The sequence below is a fragment of the Homo sapiens genome, chromosome 15 (genome assembly GCF_000001405.40).
Source record: "Homo sapiens chromosome 15, GRCh38.p14 Primary Assembly".
Lineage (NCBI taxonomy): Eukaryota > Metazoa > Chordata > Mammalia > Primates > Hominidae > Homo > Homo sapiens.
This window is the reverse complement of record NC_000015.10, coordinates 21414488-21440883: the sequence shown is the minus strand read 5'-3', so window position 1 is coordinate 21440883 and position 26396 is coordinate 21414488. Positions and strand designations below refer to the sequence as shown.

The following is a 26396-nucleotide window of genomic DNA, read 5'->3' as shown; positions in this document are numbered from 1 at the left end:
GCTCCGTGGGCGTCTTGTGCTCGGAGATTTTGAGGCCATTTGCATCCAGCTCCGCCAACCAGAGCTCTAAGCTGCAGCGGCGGCCACCCGCAACAGCGCCACCACTAGTGTCTTGGGGGCTTTCTTCAGAGGAGGCTGTCAGCATCCTCGAGTTCCAGGCGCTCTAGCCCCAGTCCTGCTTCAAGAGGCTTTTTCCCACCACAGGCTTCTCTCCTCAGTGGCCAGAAAGCTGGGCCAACTCCCATGAACTTTGCCAGTAACGCAAGGCTGTCACTGACATTTGTGGCGCCAAGACTTGCGCACGCGGATTGCACACATCGGCCACTTCCTGGACCACGTGCAATGACACGCGCACGCCTCACGCACACGCCGCATAACGTCTGAGGCGCGCGCCCCGCACGCGCGCCCCGCACGCGCATAACGGCTTGGCTTACCTGTAACGGGTACACTTCGCTTCGCGTTCCTCGCTTGGCCTTGCGTTCCTAGCTTGGCTTGGCTGTTAGTAGCTTTGCCTGGTGTTTCTTGCTTGGATTGGCGTTTCCTCCCTCGCATTCCTTTGCTGGACTTGACCTTTTCTCTGCTGGGTTTGGCATTCCCTTGACTGGGCTGGGTGTTTCCTTGGGAGGGGGGGCTTGGCCTTTCCTGGGGTGGGCGTGGGGTCCCCCTGGTGGGCGTGGGCTTTCCCCGGGTGGGTGTGGGTTTTCCCTGGGTGGGGTGGGCTGGGCTCCCTTGCTGGGCTTGGCAAGTTTTGGCTGGGATTGACCTTTCTCTTCAAACAGATTGGAAACCCAGGGTTTCCTGCTAGTTGGTGAAACTGGTTGGTAGACGCGATCTGTTCGCTACTACCGGCCTCCCCTGGCTGTTAAAAGCAGATGGTGGCTGAGGTTTGTTCAATGCCCGCTGCCTCTGCTGTGAAGAAGCCATTTGATCTCAGGAGCAAGATGGGCAAGTGGTGCCACCACCGCTTCCCCTGCTGCAGGGGGAGCGGCAAGAGCAACATGGGCACTTCTGGAGACCACGACGACTCCTTTATGAAGACGCTCAGGAGCAAGATGGGCAAGTGTTGCCACCACTGCTTCCCCTGCTGCAGGGGGAGCGGCACGAGCAATGTGGGCACTTCTGGAGACCATGACAACTCCTTTATGAAGACACTCAGGAGCAAGATGGGCAAGTGGTGCTGTCACTGCTTCCCCTGCTGCAGGGGGAGCGGCAAGAGCAACGTGGGCACTTGGGGAGACTACGACGACAGCGCCTTCATGGAGCCGAGGTACCACGTCCGTCGAGAAGATCTGGACAAGCTCCACAGAGCTGCCTGGTGGGGTAAAGTCCCCAGAAAGGATCTCATCGTCATGCTCAGGGACACTGACATGAACAAGAGGGACAAGCAAAAGAGGTAACCGGGCCTGGGATGGGAGGAGGCGGGACATGGGGGGATGATGGGGACATACCCTCCTGGCGCAGGGAGGGAGGAGCCAGGCTTTCTCTTCCTCCGCAGGCCCCACACCACCCTGGGTGTGGAAACCTCAGAGATGTCAGGGCCCAGGTCCCTTTATAAACAGCAACACAAAAACAAAACTTTAGCTGATTTCCAATCCAATTATAATTTCCCTTATAGAACACTAATAGACGGTTTTAAAGTGATTTAACTCGCAAAATTAAGTCGATGCAGCAGATTATTTTTAATGTACACATTTTAAAACAATGTTCTATACACTATAGAAAGGTGTATATTGAGAACTAAGTCCCATAATATATCAACTTCTGGGCTAAATATTTTTCAAATAAAATCCAATATGGATTTTATATCGATGTGTACCCTATGTAAACACGTTCTTTACTGAGTAACCTTAAAAGGAAACTGAAATGGGAAGTATGGTTCATATCTTTGAATAGGAAGGTTCGTTTTTCTTAAGATGTGAGCTTTTTCTGTGTTTATCACTTTTACATAAGCCAAATAAAAATAGCAAAGTCTTAGTGTCTTTAAATTGCACATGATGTATTTTATCATTGTGATAAATTGATTTTTTGTAACAGAATGGAAAAAGACTTGCTTTTCCAGATATCAAAATGTGCGTGTGTTATTTCCACAAATTGTTTACTAACAGCTGAAAAGACATAAGTGAACAGAACAGAATAGGAAATCCAGAAATACCCAAATATATGTAAGAATTTAGCACTTGATAATGGTGATGTTTCATATTGGTAAAACAAGGTGAATTATTCATAAATTAAATGCATGCTGTTTGGAGAAAACTACCTAGATTTTTATGTCACAAAAATAAGTTCCTGGAGTATAGATTAAAAATTTTAAAGATACAAAAGGAGAAAAGTACCAGAAGAAAACACAAATGCCTATTTATATGTGCAAATATTTATTTATTTTTCTGAGACAGACTCTCACTCCATAGCCCAGGCTGGAGTGCAGTGGTGCAATATCAGCTCACTACAACCTCTGGTTCCTGGTTCAAGTAATTCTTTGCCTCAGCCTACCAAGTAGCTGGGATTACAGGCACCCACCACCATGCCTGGCTAATTTTTTGTGTTCTTAATCAAGACGGGATTTCACCATCTTTGCCAGGCTGGTCTTGAACTCCTGTCCTTGTGATCCACCCACCTCAGCCTCCCAAAGTGCTGAGATTACAGTCATGAGCCACTGAAACCGGCATATATATGCAGATATAATAAAATAAGCTCAATTTAAAATTGGGCAAGGTACTTTTTTGCATGTCTACCAGTGACCTGTGTACATAGGAAAACATAGCATTCCTGCTAAGAGAAGGAATTTAAGTTAGAAGAGGAATGAAAGACTATTTTCTGTTTAAGTTAGAAGAGGAATGAAAGGCCAGCCATGGTGGCTCATGCCTGTAATCCCAGCACTTTGGGAGGCCAAGGCAGTTGGATCACGAGGTCAGGAGTTTGATACTAGCCTGGCCAGCATGGTGAAACCCATTTCTACTAAAAATACAAAGAATTAGCTGGGCATGGTGGCATGCACCTGTAATCCTAGCTACTCAGGAGGCTGAGGCAGGAGAATTGCTTGAACCAGGGAGATGGAGGTTGCAGTGAGCTGAGATTGCACCACTACACTCCAGCCTGGGTGATGGAGTGAGACTCCATCTCAAAAAAATAAATAAATAAAAATAAATAAATAAATATAAAGGAATGAAATACTGTTTTGTGTCCACAAAGTTTGTGAGGGTGAAGAACAGTGGTACTTATATACCTGCTGAAAGTTTAAGTTGCTGCGACTTTTCAAATAGACACTTTGATGGTAAGAACCACATTTTTAAAATGTGTATGCCTTTTACCCATCTGTTCCATTATACCGAAATATCTATATGAAACAGACACAGCTGTTTTTCTTAGTATTGCTTAAAATAGCCATGTATTGAGAAGAACTCATATAAAGATTTTATGAACAAATTTCAGTGCATCCATAGGATGGAATAATATGTAACCATTGAGGGTGTCAGTAGATACAGAGATATGTCGGCATGCAGAGATGTACTTTGCTGTATCAAGTGAGAAAAAATCAGTTTGTTATACATATACACAAATAGAATCTGCTCTTGTGTTAGCTGGAAATATGTGGAAAATATAATCAAACTTATTTCTGGGGATTTGTAAGTGAAGTTTTTCCCTTTCTCTTATCTGTGATTTCTGCAATGAACATCTGCAAAGTTTTAGTTAAGTTTCATTAGTAATGAAATAATCCTTGGGAAGAGAAGGAATATGCTACTTGCATAGATACAAATAATTTCTTACATTCTATTATTTATTTTTATACCTGTGGATGGCTATCTTCTGTGAACTTTTACCCTCTTCAGAAGTAGAGGGCTTCTGTTTACCTCTTCTGGTAGATTTTATTGTGTATACATCTTATTATATATAGATTGATGTGTAAATAGTATGGATTAATTATTTTAGTTTAGTTATATATTTATGAAAACTAAAATAGCAAATATAAATGATCGTTACTATCGCAAATGTATTGCTCTACTCAACAGGAGTTTTCTTTTAAAAATATTGAACTTCCAACCTATGTTTATCCATTCTTTCAATCCGTTTAGTCATCAAACATAAGCCAGACACCTATTATATGGCAGGCATATTCTGCTATCTCTCAGGATCCTTCCACCTTTGAAAACTTCATGTTTACCTGCTGCGCCTGAGCAAGCTGAGAGAATCAAAATTGGGGCATTAGGACTTAATCTCAATTGAAGCTTTTCCTCCCTCCTTTCAAACAAAAGCACTTCTGAAGGTGGAAAATAGTAAAAGATAACCCTTAACTGCCCTTTTGAAAATGTATAAGACTTGGGTAAACACTGTTTTAGCTGTTTTAAGAACTTAAATGTGGTACATAAACAGCATGGAATACTATGTAGCCATAAAAGAAAGAACAAGAGCCTGTCCTTTGCAGGGACATGGATGGTGTTGAAGGCCATTATCCTTAGCAAACTAACATAGGAAGAGAAAACCAAATACTGCATGGTCTCACTTATAGGTGAGAGCTAAATGAGGAGAACACACAGACACCTAGAGGGAAGCAACACACACTGGGGCCTATCAGAGGGTGGAGGGTGGGAGGAAGGAAAGAAGCAGGAAATAGAACTAACGGGTACTAGGCTTAACACCTGAGTAATGAAATAATCTGTACAGCCAACCCCCTTGGAACACGTTTACCTATGTTAACCAACCTGCACATCCTGCACCTGTATCCCCGAATGTAAAAGTTGAAAAAAGCTCCACAAATAGTTTCATAAATCCATTTTAAAAAGAGAAAATTTATAACAGTCTTAAATCCTAATATGAATGATTGGAAATATCTGATGTACATACGTTGTATAAATCTAAGTATTGAAAAAAATGAGCCCATGCTATTCATTTGAATTTCAAGATTTCTTTGGCTTAAAGTTTTTGAAAACCAAAGTAAGAAATAGATTATTTTAGAAAATTGTTTTTGTTTTCACCTCAGCCCTCTTATTCCATAGTTCTTTTAAGAACTAAAATTTATCTAAATGCTAGTCATCTGACTGGAACTGCCCCAGACCTGTTATATTATAACATATTCTACTTAATGTAAGGCACCAGGGATTGTATGATGCCCCATTATTTTATGTCTCACTAAGAAAATTATTTAAATGCTGCCAATTATAATTATAGTAAATCATGAATTAATAAGTGGTATTTCAGTGTAAGAAATGTTAAAACATGGAGACAATGATCATCTTAGACTCAATAAAATACAGTACAACGCTACCTGTAATCTTTAAAATGTACCTGAAAGTGTAGGTATAATTGTATCGTTTCACTTAATTCAAATGTTGTCTTTAGTGGTATTAGTAAAAATTATAATATCTTACAAGTTTTGAGCTGTTATTTGTGTTAGGAACTATTCTATATTTTGTGTAGAGTCTTATTTAAGCATTACAGTGGTTTCCTCTGAGAAACTGACTATTTTCATTCCCATTTTATTGATGAGGAAATTGAGACACAAAAAGGCTAAGCAACAGCTAGGAAGCGACAGAGCTTCAAGTAGGATTCCAGCCCAAGTTGAATGTCATCCAAGAGCTATGCTCTTTCTATTCAAATAGGCTGCTCTTTCATTAATACAGTGACTAATGAGAGGTAATAAGTAGTGTGCTTTCTTCAAAGGAAAATTGAGTTTGTTTTGAAGGCAGAGTAATAGGCTATTCAGTGTTTGCAACTACATGAATCATTAATGTGGCATTAGCTAGTGCACTACAATTTCCTGAAGTCTTCTCACTCTCATAGGACTGCTCTACATTTGGCCTCTGCCAATGGAAATTCAGAAGTAGTACAACTCCTGCTGGACAGACGATGTCAACTTAACGTCCTTGACAACAAAAAAAGGACAGCTCTGATAAAGGTATGCAGTAGTCAACTATATCAGCGTGAGATGGGTTTGATTTCAATAGATAGCATAAAAATGAGTTTTCTCATTTAAATATAACTAGTTGGTGAAAGCTGTGGAATGTTATTTTGAATTCCTAGGACTTATAATTTGTTTTTGGTCTAATACTGACAGGCCGTACAATGCCAGGAAGATGAATGTGTGTTAATGTTGCTGGAACATGGCGCTGATGGAAATATTCAAGATGAGTATGGAAATACCGCTCTACACTATGCTATCTACAATGAAGATAAATTAATGGCCAAAGCACTGCTCTTATATGGTGCTGATATTGAATCAAAAAACAAGGTATAGATCTACCAATTTTATCTTCAAAATACTGAAATGCATTCGTGTTAACATTGACCTGTGTAAGGGCCAGTTTTCCGTATTTGGAAGCTCAAGCATAACCTGAATGAAAATATTTTGAAATGACTTAATTATCTAAGACTTTATTTTAAATATTGTTACTTTTAAAGAAGCATTAGAGGGTACAGTTTTTTTCAGTGCACTTGTGGTTAATGCTTTTAAAAAAAAAAAACACGGAATTTGTAAAAGGTAATACTTTTTTTTTTTCAATTTTTCCCTGCCAAGTTTTTTTTTCCCTAACAAATGTAAAATGACAAAATTTGCCCTGGAAATAGGTTTTACATTAAAACTCCAAGAAAACTTAAACATGTTTCAGTGAATAGTAATCCTGCTACTTTGGCAAATTCCTAAAAAAACACTAATAGATATGAGGTGATGTATCTCTCAGTGGCAAGGCTTAAGATATTTCTGATTGCTCATGAGGCAGAATTGGAAAGGGAAAAATGCAGCAATCAGAAATACCAAGGCCAACTTGGAAATTAGGTAATGGGGGAAAAGACCATGAAGAGGTTTTTTTTTTGTTTTTGTTTTTGTTTGTGTGTGTGTGTGTGTGTGTGTGTGTGTGTGTGTTGTTATTGTTGTTCATTCATTTGTTTCCTTTATATGGTGAGACAGGGTTCTTTTCCATTTTAGAGAATGACAGTTTTCAGTTTGGGAGAGGGAGTTAGTGGGTTGTAAACTGCCTAGAGATCAATTTTAGGAGGCCTCTGAGGAACCAGATTGGCAGTGAATATGTGGTAATGTAGTGGGAAACCCTTGAGTAGAAGGAATAACAAGTAATTAACCAACTTAGTATCCTATTCTGGTAGAAATGGCCAATTAGAGTCTCAACTCTGCTTTCAATTCTAGAATGTCTTGATGGGAAGGTGGGAGATAAGGGGCTTATAAGTAAAAAGATCAGGTTGGATTTTGAGTTTACTAGACCTTGTTCTACTCTTACCAGGGAAAATTTTGTGGTGTTTTCAGCAAATGAGTCTCTCTCCTACTCTTTCCTCTTTTTGGCCAAATCCTCAAATGATAAAGGGAATTGTTTATGTGATGAGAGATGAGACTGAAATAATTGTCTATTGCACTAGCTTCCAGCTAGAGTTGTGCATTCCAGTTACCTCAGGAAAATTTTTAAATAATCTTCAGGTCTAGGTTTTCCCCTGAAGATTTTGATAGAGTAAGTCTAATAAAGCCTGGATATGTATGTTTAAAAATGTTTCCTTGAAGCCAGGCATGGTGGTGCATGGCTGTAGTCCCAGCTGCTAGGGAGGCTGAGGTGGGAGGATTGCCTGAGCTTAGGAGTTCTACTCTAGCCTGGTCAACATAATGAGACCCTGTCTCTAACAACAACAACAACAAATTTCTCAAAATCCGGATACACTCCTGCTTAACCACTGAATACAGAAGTGTAATATGTAAATTCTTATATCTCAGAAACTTCAGATATTTCTAGAAGAGTTGGAGTTGGATATGTGCTAATTCCTTTAAATCTTTCCTTTCCAATAACATTAATCTAAATTTTTGTTTGTTTGTTTTTGAGATGGGGTCTCACTCTGTTCCCCAGGCTGGAGTGCAGTGGTGCGGTCACAGATCACCACAGCCTTGACGTCCCTAAGCTCTGGTGGTCCTCCAATCTGTTTTTGTATTTTTTTTTTTTTAGTAGAGATGAGGTTTTTGCCATGTTTCTCAGGCTGATCTTGAACTCCTGGGCTCAAGTGAATCACCCACCTCAGGCTCCCAAAATGCTAAGATTACAGGTGTGAGCCACCATTCCTGGCCTAGTCTGACTTATCTCTGTCGTTGGGACATTAAAATAAATATTATTGGCACTATCTATCAGCTTACAGAATAATACCTTTTCCTTTCTACCATCAGTTATTCACTGCCATTCAGAAGGTCTTTAGAAATTTGCAGTGAGTAGTCTTCCAATAAGTAGAGGATGGCTCTCTCAGGACTTTGTGTCCCTTTGTTCAATCATTCAAGTGCTTAGGTCAGTAAGTCGTTTTTAAGAGCAGAGTTTTCTCAGAATTGTAGCAAATTCTAAACCTTTTTTGTCAATTGAAGCTATATTGTGGGCTATCCAGTATGTCTCTTAAGTTTGTAGAGCTTTGGCTTAATCAGGATGGCAGGTTTAAACACTAAAAACCATGGAGTTATTAAGAATACAGATAGGAAATCTCTTAGTTTCAGTAATCCTATGAACTGATTATCTATCTAGTTAACAATCTGGAAAAATTAAATACAAATAGATTTTAAATGAATAAATGTTGGAAAAAATTCTTGAAATGGGCAGTGTGAGTATTAATAGCAATATTTATTGCATGTTGGAGCTTGAACTTTGGTAAAACATGTGAAACTAAAGAAATATTTTACATTCAAATTCTTGCTTTATACACAACAATTTTGTCTTAGGATTGGATAATAATAGAGATAAAAGATACAGCCCCTGCCCTCAAGAAGCTTTTTGTTTAAATGAAAAAAAAAATCATCCAAAAGTGCCATGCCAAATGCTCATTTAGAAACAAAGAGTCTTGGAAACAGTAAATGTTTAAAGTGAGTTTTTGAGATGATCAGATTTAATGTGGTGAGGCAGAGAAGGGATGTTTCCAAGGGAAGGAGTGGCATGTGGGAAAGTACAGAAGAGTGAGAAGGAAGCGACCAAATTTTATTTACTTTCTGTGAGTGTAAGTCCATAAGCTTCCAGTTCAGTTGAGAGATACATAATTTTTTGAATTACATATTGTTTTTGTTTTATATTGTTTTACAGTGTGGCCTCACACCACTTTTGCTTGGCGTACATGAACAAAAACAGCAAGTGGTGAAATTTTTAATCAAGAAAAAAGCTAATTTAAATGCACTTGATAGATATGGAAGGTATGGTTATTTCTTTTAATCTGTGTGTTGTTCTAGATTGATAGCAGTCACTCAAGTCATAAATAATAAATTAATAAGATCAAATTATACTTATTGGGACATAGTGATCAGTATCAACACAAATCAGTTAAGTAGAAAAGCAATTATTTGGACTGGGCAACATAAAGAACTGTTTTAGTAGGATTCATCTTCTCTTATTATATTGACTGATGTTATTTGTTGTATGATGTTTTTGGTTACATGATCTTATGTTAGCTAAAGGGATTTCATATTAATTTTATGAAGTTTGAACTTTAACTTTCAGTTTACTTTATGACTCAGTATTGAACTTTTTAACCCTTTCTAGTAGGTTTTAACCTCTGTATCTTATATGCTTTTCCACTAAATATGCTGTATTAAACATAAATAGGAGTTGAAAATCCTTTTGTCTTTTCAATGACTCTGCTTTAAGTTGCTTTCTTTGAAGAATATTAATGTTAGCTTATCCCTACATGACAATTAATTGCTATTCCCACATACTGTGGGTTCAACAGCTTTTTTCCTTTTTTATTTCCAGTGTATTTTGATGTTTTTATTTTTAGTTGGTATGGAGAGAGGGAGTGAAGATAGTTTTAAGTGGATACACTTTTCCTTTAATGAAGGCAAGCTGTAGGTGGGTGACAAAGAGAAAAGAGCTACGCTTTGGATTCACACAAGACTGGGTTTAATTCCTAACTTTCTTACTTGCTACGTGTGTGACATTGGGAACGTGATTTACCACCCAATATGTTGTCATATGTGAAAAGTAGGAGAATATATCCTTCAAAGTTGGCTGTGCATAAGCAAGAAAGATACATGTGGCATTTAATTCAGTGCGTAGCACATGCTTATTGGCATCATTAACTGAAACTCCTGTGACTACTATTCTTACCATTATTATTAATATTACTGCTTTCAGCATGCAGAGAGCTCTTATTTATCTTAGCCCCTAGCTAATTTTCTATCACAGCATATCAGTCTAGGGAAGCTGTGACAAAATCTTCACTTAAATCTTTGTCCACTTCAGATAAGTGGCCCTAGCATTGTTTCTTGCCCATCAAAGGACTTTAAATTAGTAGCTTCTGCTATGCAATACCCCACTGAGATAAGAGGTTTCCTTTTTGTCCCTTCCTTTTAACCTTGGTGGTATTTTACAAAGATGAACTCTTGAGCACCCAAGATGCTTATGTCTTTTAGCGCATGTAAATGTTTGATTCTGCATGGACAGGCAAGATGTCAAATTGGTAAAGTATATCAAATTAGCTTTTAAAATAACTTTATTACAGTTTCTAAAGGAGAAATTATCTCTGTAATTTTAGAACTGCCCTCATACTTGCTGTATGTTGTGGATCAGCAAGTATAGTCAATCTTCTACTTGAGCAAAATGTTGATGTATCTTCTCAAGATCTATCTGGACAGACGGCCAGAGAGTATGCTGTTTCTAGTCATCATCATGTGTAAGTGTTTACATGAAAAGGCTAGTTAATGCTAAATTGAGGTTTAAAATAATTATAACAATTGCATCTTACATATCAGGTGAGATGTCATAGTTTGGTTCAGGTAGTTTTAGAGTGGCAGTGAGTTAGTCCCCTGCATCAGCCAGAAATCAGACAAAAAGCAAGACAAGTTAGAAGTACCAATGGGTGCAGGATTCTTTACCTCAGGACTTTTAAGACCTTTATCCTTAGAGATCCCAATATTGTTCATTTCATCCAAGTATAACACCTATGCATGGCATAAAAAAGAGTATCACATCTTTGATTTTTCTGATTAGTTATTTGGGTCTTGAAATGTCCAGTTTAGCAGAAAGCCTTGTACTGTCTTCTGGGGACTGTCTCCTACATACTCCTTGAATTTTTCAAGAACCAAAGGGGTTCACTAAATCCAAGGAAGACAGTCCCTTTTATCAAGTCAGAAGGAGGAGAGAAAAAAGGACATTCCAATCATTCTGTTGTTTCCATTGTTTCTGTTGCTGCATTGTTGCCACTCAAACTGCTTCTGCTGCCTGGTAATTGTTGACCTTTGACACCAAGGTGCCCTTACTGATTCAGATCCCTCAAGTCTTCATGGGGATTCACACAGTGACTTTGAAGTTACAACATTTTTTAGTTCCCTTACCTATGCTTATATGCTCAGCCATTGTTCCCAAAGCACCAGCACCCTGCTCTGGCCGCTGGGCATCCTGACTTTATCCGCACACAAAGTGAGCAAATTGACCCTTCCTCCTGTATTCAGAACCTAATGTGGAACCCACATCTTAGCTAAGAATTAGCTGAGACCTTCATGGTAAGAGATCCTTTCAGGCCGTTGTTGGTCTTTTCTCTAGCAGATATGAGGTGGGCTTGTTATAAAGGGTCAGAGGGGTTCAAATAATGTGGCAGAAAGAGATCAGTGTTTGTTTCTTCTTCTTTGCTACCAGATCTACACAGTGAGGCACCTTTATATCCTGTGTAGAACCTTAGGCAGTAGAAAGTCCCATATGAGCCTTCCCCAAGCAGTGGCTCCCAGCTGTGGTTGGCCCCTTGAGTGATCTGATTTACATGATAATGAAAATCGTCCAAGCTACTTCCATCTCTAGCTCAAGATTTTAAAATATTTTCAAATTGTACCTCACAGGAAGCCATTGAAGAGAATTCTCAGAATCTCACGTGGGTTAAGTAAGTAGTGATGAGTCATGGACAAGAGCCAAGCCTTGCCCATGACTCATCACAAATCATGTGTAAAAGTAGGGCTTTGTGCCTGCTTTGGCGGCACATATCCTAAAATTGGAACAATACAGAGAAAGTTAGCACGGCTTCTGCATAAGGAGGCAGCACAACTCTTTGAAGCATTCCATATTTTGTGCAGTCACTGGAAGATCATTTCACTATTTGCTGGCTAGCTCTAAGGAAACAGTGTGAATCAAAGCAAAATGGGTGCCACCAAAATATCGAAATGTGATTTGTGCTGCAAAAATAGTCATGGAAGATGGTCTGTGAGATGATTTAGAGCTGAATAATGTGTTCAGTGCAAAATATATTATAAGTATGTACGTCAAAAATTAGAGAATGTCAATTTGCAGCTTCTTCATGAAAACTGAAAAAAAATAAAAGTAGAGTTTTGGTCTCCCATGTCAGCTGGAATTGAACATCAATATAAAGCATTATCCTAACAAACATCTGCTGGCTCAGAGTTTGAGTCTGTAGAGAAGGATCATTGCTCCAAGCCAGGTCTTAACATCCATTGGTTTTTCTGCCCTTAGCACAACAAATTGGTCAACTCCGTAATAGTGGACAATCACATTATCTACTTTAATGAGAGATTTATGAAAAAATTTAGTTACAAACTATGACACAGTTGAGATGCCCTGAATGATAAGCCATAAGGAGTAGGACAACTAAGAAGCAAAATTAGGACTTAATAACATTTCCTGAAAACTACAGCATTTGCATATTAGAACCTATGAACAAAATACACATGGGGTTTTATTTGGGATTCCAAGATAATTTTAGTCATAAAGTTTAGGAACAGATTATTCCATTGCTTTACTATTTCTCTGAGCATTTAAAAAATGTTACCTTGTTAAATCTTTATAACAACCTAGTGAAATAAGGCAGCAAAGTCCTCACTTTGTAGAAGAAGACATTGAGCCTAAGAGAAGAAAGTTGTCCAAGAACAAATAGCTGTTCATTATGGAGCTAGGACTTATGCAGAGTTGGGACACTTTCTATTATGTCATGCTAATGCCTGCTGATTTACTGGGTCACAGTGCCCTTGATTTATGAGCATTTCACCTAATTTTTTTTCTTCTTTAATTAGAAGCTTAAAGAAAAGTTTGTAGAATGTACTCATAAGTGTATGGGATAATACTGTTAAATTCTGATATTATGATATTGTTTGAAATACTCTAAGAATCTTACATTTGGTAAGTATTTTTTATATCAGTATTAAAATAGTAATTTGGTTTATTACATTTTTATACATAGAATTTGTGAATTACTTTCTGACTATAAAGAAAAACAGATGCTAAAAATCTCTTCTGAAAACAGCAATCCAGGTAAGACTTGTGATAATGAATTACTTTAGGTCAGTTGTCCACAATGTTTTTGGCATCAGGGACCGGTTTTGTGGAAGACAGTCTTTCCATGGGCTGGGGGAAGGTGGGGATGGTTTCAGGATTATTCAGCCATGTTTCATTTATTGTGCTACTTTATATTATTATTACATTGTAATATATAATGAAATAATTATACAACTTACCATAATGTAGAATCCGTGGAAACTCTGAGCTTATTTTTCTGCAACTAGATGGTCTCATCTGGGGGCAAAGTGAGACAGTGACAGATCATCAGGCATTAGTTTCTCATATGAAGCACACAACCTAGATCCCTCAGATGAGCAGTTCACAATAGGGTTCATGCTCCAATGAGTATCTAGTGCTATCACTGATCTGACTGGAGGCAGAGTTCAGGCGGTAATATGAGCCATGGGGTGTGGCTGTAAGTACAGGTGAAGCTTCCCTGGTTTGCCTGCTGCTCACCTCCTCCTGTGTGGTGTGGTTCATAATAGTCCATGGACTGGTACCAGTCTGTGACCTGGGAGTTGTGGACCCCTGCTCTGGGTGGTCCTACCGTAGATAAAAAAATAAAAGTAAGGAATTTTTGATCACAAAAGAACGCCAAAGCACAAGTCATGTTACATATCCTTGTCCCAACAAGGTCTCACTCTTACTGACTTCATTCCTCCTCATTTGAAGTTGGAAAGAGATACATTTACTTTGTTGGAACAAGATGTGTTCTCTACCTGCTGGTCAATTGTCTTGATAACAGTAATTTTGTTAGAACAAGATGCTCTGCTACCATTTACCAAAAGATTGTCATAATAAATATACAAATTGCCCAACTCTAGGCTCAGCAGATTATAATAAAAGTAGAAAAATGCTTCACATTAACAAAAATACTAGTATGCCACCTGGTTGTGGACACCTAATACATTGTATAATCCAAACTGGATGAGGACACCTTTAATTTAGCCATCTATTTATCAAAAAGCTTCTGTAAGTTAGGTTTTATAAGTTGCAGAAGACAAAGATGGAATAGATGTAGTTTTGATCTTTAAGGTGCTCATAATAGAGGTGTCTCTATTTCATTTCTGTGCTTTTTCAACAGAATTTACAAAGAAAACATTTCTATGTTTTCACTTGTCCACTTAACAAATAACTATCAAATGTCTTTTAGATACTAATCATTTTTCTAATGCTACAGAACACACACAATTAAAAATACAGACAGGAGCTTGTTATTATCATTGTCACTTTTATTATTTTACTACTTTATTCAGTGCTTACTGTGTGCTAGATGCCAACTGGAAGCTTATAATTATGATTTATTATGTATTAATTATGTGCCAGACATACGTGATGAGGAATGAAAGTTTTGAAAAAAAGTAGGTATGATTCAAAGTAAGCATGCAGAGTGAGAAGAATTTTTCTAGGTAAAGAAGCAGAAGAATAATTTTTGGCAGAAGGAACATGCAACAAGTTTGTGTGTTTGCCAGAAGAACATCTGATGAGATTGCCTGTTTGGCAGGAAGAGCAACAACTGCAAAAGACAGGATGCCGAGTGAACTTTGCAGGGTTTCTGAGCAGTTCACTTTTGCTAGTACCAAAAGTGTGAGACACCAGAGTTTGGGAATGAGGTGAATACTTAGCTAAGGCAAGTTTATGATAGACTTTTTTAATACTATAGAAATGAGTAGGTCTTACCCTGTGGGCCATGGGAAATTTACCAGGTAGAATGCTTTGGACTGTAAATACTAGATGAGCAGTGGCTAAAACAGTAGGAACCAGAGTTGTTTTGGTTGTTCAGTGATATCCTAGGATCCCATTTGTCCCTCTTTCAGCTGTGCTGTTGGCAGTGTTTTCTTCATGTTTCCTTTCATGGTTGGCTAATCCGCAGCAGCTCCAAACATCTTGTTCTCACAACACAACATTTCAAGGGCTGCTTTTCTTCACATGTGTCTTTTAAACAGGGAGAAAACTTAGAAGCATGCAAGGGGCTTCCTGTAACATTTCATTGGCTGGGTCACACCACATGCTCATTCCCAAACCAGGCAATGGGATGGCAAATACATGATTAGCTTAGAATAAACATTTCTCTTTCTGAGGCTGAGGAGGGGGATTGGGATAATAAATATCCCAATAGACTTGTGTTTCTTCTGCAAGAAAGAATAAGGAATGGCTATTGATAGGAGCCAACAATGTGTGCTGCAGGGGCTCATTGGAGAAATTTGAGCAGGGGAGTTACAAGATTAAATTTGAATATTAAGGCATATTCTGCTTATGGTGTAAAATGGGTTAGCAAGCTTTTTCTGTAAAGGACCAGGTGGGAAATATTTTAGACTATGTGGTCTCTGTCATATCTACTTAACCAGGCTGTTGTCTGTTGTTGTAGTGTGAAAGCCACCATGATTATATGTAAGCAAACAGGCATGACTGAGCTCCTATAAAACTTTATTTACAAAGCCAAAAGGCAGATTGGATTTGTCCTGTGGCCTATAGTTTGCTGGGATTGATGGAAGATAACCATGTAAAGAAACCAGGAGACAAAGGAAGCTTTTGCAGTAGTCATCTATAGTTTCCATGTCACACATCCTTGGACTAGTATCAATGTATTCTAAGGTTTTCACCTGCCCATGGTGAAATAAAGTTTGGAATCCCCATTACTCATTTTAATGTGTTGGCCTTTTTTTGGTGTTATGCTTTTTTCATTTGTTTTGCTTAATTTTTTTCATGTGAGAAATAACATTAATAGTTGGAAGGCTTTTTTGTAATAAAAGCCATTTTGTAAATGTTTATGTTCTCAGTGGAAGTGGTAATATAAAGCAGAGGCAGAAGAGAGGTATAGTCAATATGATTTAGTGATAATTGAATGAGAAAGGTTTGGAGGACAGAGAGAAATGTCAGATAATTTACAGGTTTCCACGTTGTACACTAGTATTTAAGCTGGGCATGAGGAAGGAGTACGAAATTTTCTCCATGACCTGTGTGAGTCACAGCTTCCAGAAAAGAAAGAGAGCAAGGAGCATATTAAGGAAGCACAGCAAAGTCAGTCCTAGAGTGCCCTGCTTGACTTCATGTCATAGTTCTGACTTCTAAAAAATCATTTTCTGCAAAATGTGCTTTGTGTTTTTCCCCTCTTGCAGCCTGCAGCCAAACAGAATCCCTTTAGCAGGGCATTTTTGTGTTCTTCCTTTAAACAAAGCAACATATAAATAACAAAAAAGAAGTAAGAGAAAGAGTATTTTTTGTATAGGCTAGCATTTAACTTAAACTTGAGAGCGAGTACTAGGATTATACTTAGAATTTATGGACTGGGTAGGAAGACTAGATAGAAATCTAAAGATTGCTGACTCAAACACAGTGTGATTTTTTTGCTTTATTCTCACAGCTCTGAATTCACAACTATTAGTTATATTCATATACACTATAACTTTATAAAGCACCTTCCCAAACAAATATTAAGTGATTTATTATAATTTCTATGACTTATTATAGAATTGACTTTCCAAGTGTTCATGAGAATTATTGGGAATTTGCTACATAGTATCATCTCAGCTGTGTCCACATGAGCTAGCTGTCACCTTGTCTTAATGAATAATGGCTCACTAGGAATATTGGTTTTGGCATTAAAATGATCTACATCTTAATACAGATAGGACCAGGGACCACTCTTGAACGTTAATGTCTAAGCATCTTAAAGGTACACATAAGGCTTTCATAATCTGACTTCTGCCCTATTCTACATCTTTAGCCCTTTTCCCTGTGTGCCCTTTCTCTGGCATTACTGAGTGGCTCTTAATGCCCTACTCACTCCTCCTTCTATTGCAGGCAAATACTTTCACTCTTTCAGGCCTCGCTCCTGCTCTTGCTGCTGTGTGGCATGCTGTCACCCTTTCTTGCCCTCTACCACTTTTAATCTAGCTAGCCTCAATATTTAAGTCTCTGCTTGGGCAGGTGTTCTAGAAAAGCCATCCCTGACAGGCTTTATTTTCATTCTTTTTAAACCCTAACACCTAGCATGTATGTAGCAGGACTCAATAAGAAATTTCTGAGTAAAATAAAGACTGTTTTTACAAAGATGATGTGCAAGACTGTCCTCTGCAGTCTTGGAGCAGAGGGGACAGACATGTGGAGGAATAGTGTACAGTTCAGGTGGTAAAGGTGCAGTAGAAAAATCAGTGAGGTCCTAAGGCAACCTCAAGGAAGGAGTTACCTGTTTATCTGGGGAAAGATCTGCAGAATCAAGGAAGACTTCCCATAGCATTGTTTTAAAAGATGAAAACAAGGCTGGGTGTGGTGGCTCACACCTGTAATTGCAGCATTTTGGGAGGCTGGAGCAGGTGGATCACAAGGTCAAAAGATCAAGACCATCCTGGCCAATGGTGAAACCCCATCTCTACTAAAAATACAAAAATTAGCTGGGCATGATGGTGTGTGCCTGTAATCACAGCTTCTCAGGAGACTGAGACAGGAGAATCATTTGAACCAGGGAGTCAGAGGTTGCAGTGAGCTGAGATTGTGCCACTGCACTCCAGCCTGGTGACAGAGCAAGACCCCAGCTAAAACAAAAAAAAAAGAAAAATGAAAATAAATTTGTCATAATAGTGGATGGAAACATTTTAGATGTTAAGAAGACATTGTACACTAATAAAGGTGTCAGTAGTAATTTTGGAAATCGTTTGTAAGGTACTATTTTTGCAGAAAACAGGAGGCAGGAGAGACCCAGTGGGTCAAACAAGAGGATTTTGTTTAGGTGCACACCAGCTCAGCGGATTTGCATCAAAAAGCTGAGCCCTGAACAAAGACAGGGCTTGGCTTATATAGGCAAACTTATAGAAGCAGAACAAAGGCAGTTAATCATATAGTGACAGTTTTGCAACCACTGCATAGCTTGCGACCTTGCAGCTGCATTGAGGGAAAACAAGAATTTGCAAAATATATGCATTTGTAAAAATAGCTATGAATAAATGCTGAGGGGGAGGGGAGATGGTAAAGGAATTTGTTTTCTTAACCTTGCTCTGGGATGTCTGGAGCCCATACCTGTGGGCTCTGGCTTCTCAGACAGGGTCACCATGACCTTTCCTGGGCCTGCTTGTTACTATCCTTAGAGTCAGACTAGCTAAGTGCAGGAAAACTTGTTTCTCTTTAAAACTAAATTTCCTTTTCTTTACATTTACTGCTTCACTATTAGGAAGTGAACAACATACTGAGTTACCTTATATGTTTCTACTGTATTTTAAAGTTGTGTTTCTGGTGGTTTTGTTCATTTATGTTGGGTGGATGAATTTGTGAGTGAATCACATCAGGTGTCTCCCCAAGTGGTTTGTTGAAGTTTTGGAGAATTATTTCCTAAGTAACTATTTCATGAAAGACTAAACACTCAGTTTATGAAATAAAATAAAATGTTGTCTTCAATCTATTTTTATAAAGGCAATAGTTTTTAACTGTTCTAAGTGGTTCATTTTAACTGAATATATGGATTTCTCAACAGAACAAGACTTAAAGCTGACATCAGAGGAAGAGTCACAAAGGCTTAAAGTCAGTGAAAATAGCCAGCCAGAGGCATGGAAAATTTTAAGTTTAAATTTTTGATTTAATGTTGTTTTCTTTGCTTGAATAATATTAGATAGTCCAAATGAAATTACCTTTCAGACTAGGTTTTAAGAATCAATAGATTCTTTTTTTAAGAATTTTTTAATAGATTCTTAAAATTTATTTTAATAAATTCAGCAATCTCATTAACAGAAGAATTAATAAATTCTAACTTGACATTTGATATTTAGCTTAAAAACGTAACCACTATAAAATTTAAAATACTCTTATTTTATGGTATTCTTATTTAAAATATTCTTATCTGCCTTTTTGATTAGCTTATAGCTAATCTTTCCTTTTGGAATAGAGGCAAAAACATATTCCAGACCTTTGTTTGTTCTTTTATTTTTACAACACCCTAACATGATAAAGTACCATCAATTATTGGATTATATTATTAAGCAATAGAACTGTGAACAATGTAACACTGAAGGTCCCTGAGCTGGATTCATGGTTAAAGAATAATCACGGCCAGTGATTGAAAATCTGCAGTTTTATATTGTCAGTCACAGATACCAAGGTTAAAGACATATTCTGCCTTGTGGTCTCTCACTGACCTCAGCATTTCTGTTCAGGGAGGGAACCAGGTCATAAAAGCAACCCAACTGCCTATTACAAGAATCATATCTTGCAGAATGGGACATTTGGTGTTAGTGCACAAACACAATAACCTTCTACCTTATTTCAGTTGCAGAAAATCAGTACAGATTATTAAAAAATTTTTATCCACTGTAATTAGTACACCTTAGAATATATTAGAACTGGACTTAAGCAGATCATCTAGATACATAACACTATCATATTACAGCATATAATTTCAATTAAAATTTAAGAATTTGCATTTCTTCCTCTTTGGTGTTGATTTCAGCTCCTAATAATTTAAAGCGTGCCTACAATCCAATTAGGAATCTTTTTAAAAAGCACTTCAGTGCACTATAGGGGCTCACTAGTTAGGGTTTCATGAGATATACTCTTTTCAAGTGAGGAAGCCCTTGGAACACTACAAATCATCTGCTAATTCATTTTTGGTAGATTTAACACATAACAAATTAAGTTTAGTCCAAACAAATGGTGACAAAGTTAAGTTTGCTGGTTCATGTTTTTATTCTCCCTTTGTCTAAGGTGAATTATTTTCCCATGTTAGTCAGAAGCCAATGATGTGGCAGTAGCTAAACATAGATTAAAAAGTTAATTCTTAATTTTAATTATTTATTTATTTAATTATTTTAAGTTAAATTTTATTTTATTTTCTAATTTTTCATGTCCATACTTGATTACTTAAGAATAAAATTATTTTAACATGCATTCCAAAAGAGGAGACATACACGGAAATACAACAAGCAAATTAACCTTCTATTTTTGCATCTGCAGAAAATGTCTCAAGAACCAGAAATAAATAAGGACTGTGATAGAGAGGTATACCTTTATGTTCAAATGTTTCTGTGGAATTAGATTTTTATGTTATGCTGTTTAACAAAGTGTAGTAAGTGTACGCATACATGATCCTATCATGTAAGTAGCATAAATCACCAGTGAAAAATTTAATATTTAACTCAGAAAGAATTCTGTACATTGAGTTTTCAAGAGATACAAACCCTAGAGAGATTCTTTCATTATTATGGAACAATCCTGAATGGTGCCATAAAATGCTAGGTAATGCCTCTTTAGGAGATTTGGACCAATCCTTTTATCTTTCTTGGTTTTAGTCTGATTATCACTAGATAATGTGGCTAAAGAAGATAATTACTTATTCTTTGTAATTTCCAGCTGGAAAATTGTATAGCTATTGAATGTGAAATTTGGGGAGCATCTAATTTTCTGGAATTCCATGCTTGCACCTCAGCAGTTTCACTCTGCTCCTTGTGTTGTGGCAAACTTTGGTTTTCATGTTTCAGTGAGCACCATCATGTTTTTGATATCCAGGAACCAAATGAAAAAAGAACGATCAAAGGCAGTGGGAGAGGAGAATATCTTAGTGCAGAAAAGGGCCATCTTCCTTTCTATTCCTGAAGCCCCCCAGTGTCTCATCCTCTACATCTGAGTGTTTAATGTAAAATCTAGGTGGTAAAGACAGAAGACACATTTTGTGTCTATGTCGTTTTATTTTTGTGTTCCCACGAGTCAAATGGGGTAAATTCATATATAAGATTCTGAAGAGTTTTTGGGAATAAAAGCACAAAATGAAGGAGGGCCCTTTTTGAATTTTGGAAAATTCTGTTTTATTCAGTCAAACAGCTGGAATCAAGCAAACTACAAAAATTTCAGTGATATACTAATGACATGATAATTACATCTTAAAATTATACGGTTATAGTTCTGTATATATGATCAAATTTAAGTGTGAAATATTTTTAATGACTAAAATAATGGCAAACTGAGTCAATTGATAAAATCAATTAAAAAGGTTATTTTTATTCAATAAAGTGATAACCATCCTTAATATCAAACTTCCACTCAAGGTTGAAGAAGAAATAAAGAAGCATGGAAGTAATCCTGTGGGATTACCAGAAAACCTGACTAATGGTGCCAGTGCTGGCAATGGTGATGATGGATTAATTCCACAAAGGAAGAGCAGAAAACCTGAAAATCAGCAATTTCCTGACACTGAGAATGAAGAGTATCACAGGTAAGCCTATAGGAGATAACTATATGCTGTCAAACTAATCCTAATTTGGGCTTTCATGATGAACAAATTTTATACTTTTACTAGAATATTCAGCCTTGCCTGTTAATCAGAAAAATGAAAATCAGTAAACAATGAGTTACCGTTTTTTCCAGTCATTAATTTATTTGAAAAATAACCGGCATTGGCAAATGTGAGGGAAAAGGCATTTCCTTTTCTTTTTAATGAACTTTTATTTTAGCTTCAGAAGTTCATGTGTAGGTTTATTATATAGGTAAACTGTGTCATGGAGGTTTGGACTACAGATTACTTCATCAGCCACATAATAAGCAAAATACTCGAGAGGTAGTTTTTTGGTCATCTCCCTCCTGCCACACTCCACCCTCAAGTAGACCCTGGTGTCTGTTATTCTCCTCTTTGTGTCCATGAGTTTTCATTGTTTAGTTCCCACAAATGAGTAAGAATATGTGGCATTTGATTTTCTGTTCCTGCATTAGTTTGCTTAGGATAATGGCCTCCAGCTCCATGTGTGTTGCTGCAAAGGAAACGGTCTCATTGAAAAAGACAATTCATACACTGTTGGTAAATATATTTTGAACATTAATTTATTAGCATATTTGCACACACACATATATAACATAGTAAGTATATATATGTATGTTAAGGATATTTGTATAGATTTGTCACATATATACTTATGTATAAGGACATTTCTTACAGCGTTATTATATCAAAAAGATGGATCCTTATCAATAGGAATTTATCATTATCAAAAGTAAATCCTTACCAATAGGAAATGGCTCAATTTTCATACCCAGAAAATAATACGGTATGCAAACATTTTTTACAAATGAGGTTAGATCTAGAGTATACTGATTATTTCACAATTAAAATGTATTTAAAGCATTTAGTTTGGTAACACATCTTAAGATAATTTTGTTAGAATTCTTGTAATATCTGCTGTGTTGCAAATGGAAGCTACACGCTACATTGACACTGTACCTTGTTAGCAACGAGATTGGTAGTTATTAAATTTTTGTTGTCAGTGCCTGAGTGCCAAAATATTGGACCTTCAATCTGAATATTGCCAAGGGATTGTACATGGGGACCTATATTTAATATAAACATTTGAGTATATTGGGTAAAACTTTTATTAAAATATATCAAAGTATCTTTCATCTGCTAAACCAGGAGCTGGCCAGCTTTTTCTGCAAAGAGCCATTTAGTAAATATTTTAGGCTTTGTGGACTATATATATTTATTTTTTTTGAGACAGGGTCTCTGTTGCCCAGGCTGGAGTGCAATTGTGTGATCACAGCTCACTGCAGCCTTGACTTTCTGGGCTCTAGTGATCCTCCTCCCACCTCAGCCTCTCTATTAGCTGGGACCCCAAGTGTGCAACATCACACCCAGCTAATTGACTCTATGGACTGTAAAGTGAATAAGCATGGCTGCGTTCCAAGATTCTTTACTTACAAAAACAGTCAGTGGCCTGGATTTGGCCCACAGGTGCTAATTTGCTGACCCTTGTGCTAAAAGGAAGGTGCTGCTAATGCAGTAACACTTATTTATAAAAGTGCCCAGCATGTGTGACAGTATCTTTCCTTTGAGAAAAGGATATATTTTGGTATTCACCTCACCATATTTTTCCACAGTGACTTCATATAATTTTAAAAATTTCATTTGTAAAATAAGATTATTTTCTGCATTTCTGCCACTTTATTCCTGTTAATAGAATTCAGTATTTTATGGTGATCAATTACTTTGTATATTCGATGAGCATCAACTGTCCTAGAATTGGCTGATTTTTATCAAGCAAGAAATACTCTCCTTGAAACTTTTAGTTTTTCTTGGTCTTTATGTATAAGCATGAACAAAATGATAATTGGCTTATGTAATCTAGAAATGGTCAAGGCAACTTTTAGTTCTATAGTTTTAAGATTTAACACCTTGGTCTGGCATTTTTAATGCCACATGTGTATAATTTTTATAAGCTTTAAAATATATAATTGTTATATAAAATTTGAAAACTACACCTTTTATGTAAAATTTGAAACTATTTGTCTATTACTTTTCCATGACTGTGGAAGAAAATTACAACATTCTCAGCCATGACTCCTAAGTATGATGTCCTTAAAAGAACTGTCTACACTCACGAACTCAAATTTTCTTTTCATTCACTCTTGATCTCATGCCAGTAAGTCTTCAATTTCAGTAGTCCTCCAGCATTGTTTTTCCTCAAGATTATCACTAATTTTTTTCTGTAATAAATCTAGGCACTTTTCTTCCACCTCATTTTATTTAATCTGTCAGCAATATTTGAGCCAATGGAGGGCATCTCCTCCCTAACGGCATCTTCACTGGCTTTCAGGACCTCACTCCCTCAGGCTTTTCCTCCTGCCTTTCTAGTCCATTCATCATGGTCTGTTTTGCTTGCTCCTCCTCATCTTTCTCCTTTTGGACATTGTTGTTTCCCAGGGCTCACTCCTCAGTCTTCTTTCTTGTGACTTTTTCTTTTTCTTTTTTGGAGACAGAGTTTCACTCTGTCTCCCAGGCTGGAGTTCAGTGGTGTGATCTCGGCTCACTACAACCTCTGCCTCCTGGGTTCAAGCAATTCTCCTGCTTCGGCCTCCTGAGTAGCTGGCATTACAGGTGCATGCCACCGTGCCCAGCTGATTTTTGTATTTTTAGTAGACACAGCATTTCCCCATGTTGGCCACCCTGGTCTCAAACTCCTGACCTCAGGGGATCTGTCTGCCTTGGTCTCACAAACTGTTGGGATTACAGGTGTAAGCCACTGCACCTGGCCCCTCGTGACTTTTTCTACTGTGTATATGCTAGTGATTTCTGAATGTATGTCTCCAGCTCAGATCTTTCTCCTTAATTCCAGATTTCTATATCAGCCTGCCTACTTGACGTCTCTATTTGGTTAGTTATTGGGTATCACACACTTGTCAGATCCAAAATTGGGCTACTGATGTCCTTCCTGAAATCTGCACCTCATGTAGTCTTTCCTATTTTTGGTTAAGGGCAACTCTTCCAGTTGCTCTGCCAAATATCTCGGTGTCATTCTTGACTCATCTCTCTCTCTCTCTGACACCTCACATCTAATCTCTCAGTAAATCTTGTCAGGTCTACCTGAAGAATATGTCCAGAAGTCAGTCATATCTTGTACATCTGAGCCACCCTCATCTGCAGTCTAGATGAGTGTCATAGACTGGGAATTGATAGTCCTGGTTTTTAAAAACTTCCCTTTTCATCAATTCTTAACTCAGTGGATGTATTTAAAACATAAGTCAAATTGTGTCATTCCTCTGCCCCAGCCCTTCTGATTATCTCCCATTTCACTCGGAGTATGTGTCAAAGTTCCTCCTAATTATCTCCCTTGCTCTGCTTCAGCCAAACTGAATTCTTGCCGTCCCTTATCTACCCCTAGTGCTTAAAGATGCCAGGCACACCTCTGTGATTCGCAGTTCCCTGTGTCTGGAATGCTTTTTCCCCAGTTATCCTCCTAGCTTTCTCTTTCCATTCCTTCAGTTCTTTATTTAAAACCCCCTTTCTAAGAAGAAGAGGAAAAAGGGTAAAAAGAAAGACATTAAGGAACAACCACTTTCTGAGGAAGAACAGCGTGCTACCTAGACGCGTCATGCTTGAGGTTCAATTGGGTGCCTACCAGGGATGCTCTCTAACGTAATGAAGGGAAGGTTCAGTGAAACAAAGTGATTTAACATCTCTAACTTCAAACCCATTTGTATCTTGACATCAATGCCGTTAACCTTATGTCGTCATTTCTTAGAGTCTTTGATATACAAATAAAAGGTTTTTTGTATTAGAAAAAAAAATCCCCTTTCTCAGCAGGGACTTTTCTGACCACCCCAACTTTCCCACCACCCTCCCCATGAAACACATAAACATTTCATTTTCCTGCTTTAGTTTTTCTCCTCTAACATACTGTATATTTTGCCTTATCTGTCTGTTGTTATTGTGTGTTTTTCTCACTCTCATGAATGGGTTTTTTATTTTTCACTACCATATCCTCACTGCCTAGAAAAAGGCCTAGCATATTGGATGAAGCTACCTAATAAATACTTATTAAATGAGTGAATGGAGTTTATCCTGGATATATTGTTTGATTAATTCTCACTTTAAAAATGTTTGACATGGTTCATTCTAACAGTTTTGCCCGGTAATTACATGCATTTTAAAAATTGTTTTGGCTCTTTATAATAAGCTACATTCTTTATATTATTTTTTTATTTAGAGAGAAAAGCCCAATATTGTGGTTATTCACTATTTATTCTTTTACTAGTAAACATAATTGTAATTATGGTAAACTGAGTCAGAGGAATTGCAAACTTTACTGGTATTTTATTTTATTTTGAGATGGAGTCTTGCTGTATCCCCCAGGCTGGAGTTCAGTGGTATGATCTCAGTTCACTGCAACCTCCGCCTTCTGGTTCATGCATTTCTCCTCCCTCAGCCGCCCAAGGAGCTGGGATTACGGGGGCATGCCACCACGCCTGGCTAATATTTGTATTTTTAATAGAGATGGGGTTTCACCCTGTTGGTCAGGCTGGTCTCAAACTCTGTACCTCAGGTGATCCACCCACTTCGGCCTTTCAAAGTGCTGGGATTACAGGCATGAGCCACTGCGCCTGGCCACTAGTATTTTATTTAAAAAAAAATTAGGGTGGCACATTTAATGGACTTACAAATTCTTTTCAAGGGATTATGAACCTTTGGTATTTGAAATAAAGATACAGAGTTGGAATTTTTTGCTTCCTATAGTAAGAGGAATACTGGTCAGGCACTGTCTATTCTGGTGGAGCAGGTGCTGCTGCGTGGCTGTATTTCAGAAGTAAGCTGCTCACATTGATATTGGTTGGTGAGCAAGAGCAGTGGTCATTGATTGATTGACTAGATTTCAAACTGGCTTTTGGGTGGCTTGTTGTTACCATTGGTACAAGTCATTTCTTTCC

General features: G+C 37.7%; 1 protein-coding gene and 1 non-coding gene across 6 annotated transcripts in view; both read left to right on the top strand.

Annotated features, from left to right (window-relative positions):
* Window positions 1-384: 384 nt before the first annotated feature.
* The window catches only part of POTEB3 (POTE ankyrin domain family member B3), a 35099-nt gene continuing 9087 nt past the window's right edge, over window positions 385-26396 (top strand). The window contains exons 1-9 of one of the 5 annotated variants that reach the window (NM_207355.5): window positions 385-1393; window positions 5776-5890; window positions 6050-6223; window positions 9039-9145; window positions 10483-10620; window positions 13129-13199; window positions 18694-18764; window positions 20166-20210; window positions 21254-21420. In NM_207355.5, the coding sequence (NP_997238.2) occupies window positions 873-1393; window positions 5776-5890; window positions 6050-6223; window positions 9039-9145; window positions 10483-10620; window positions 13129-13199; window positions 18694-18764; window positions 20166-20210; window positions 21254-21420 (1409 nt within the window). In that variant the 5' untranslated portion in view covers window positions 385-872. Of the gene's footprint in view, window positions 1394-5775; window positions 5891-6049; window positions 6224-9038; window positions 9146-10482; window positions 10621-13128; window positions 13200-14635; window positions 14857-15594; window positions 15866-18693; window positions 18765-20165; window positions 20211-21253; window positions 21421-26396 lie in introns of those variants that run through there. The other 4 variants (NR_110752.1, XM_011543797.3, XM_047432107.1 and 1 more) reach the window with 4 other exon arrangements.
* LOC124900632 (U6 spliceosomal RNA) lies at window positions 11899-12005 on the top strand. Its single transcript, XR_007064806.1, has one exon. It is a non-coding gene; the product is annotated as a U6 spliceosomal RNA (small nuclear RNA).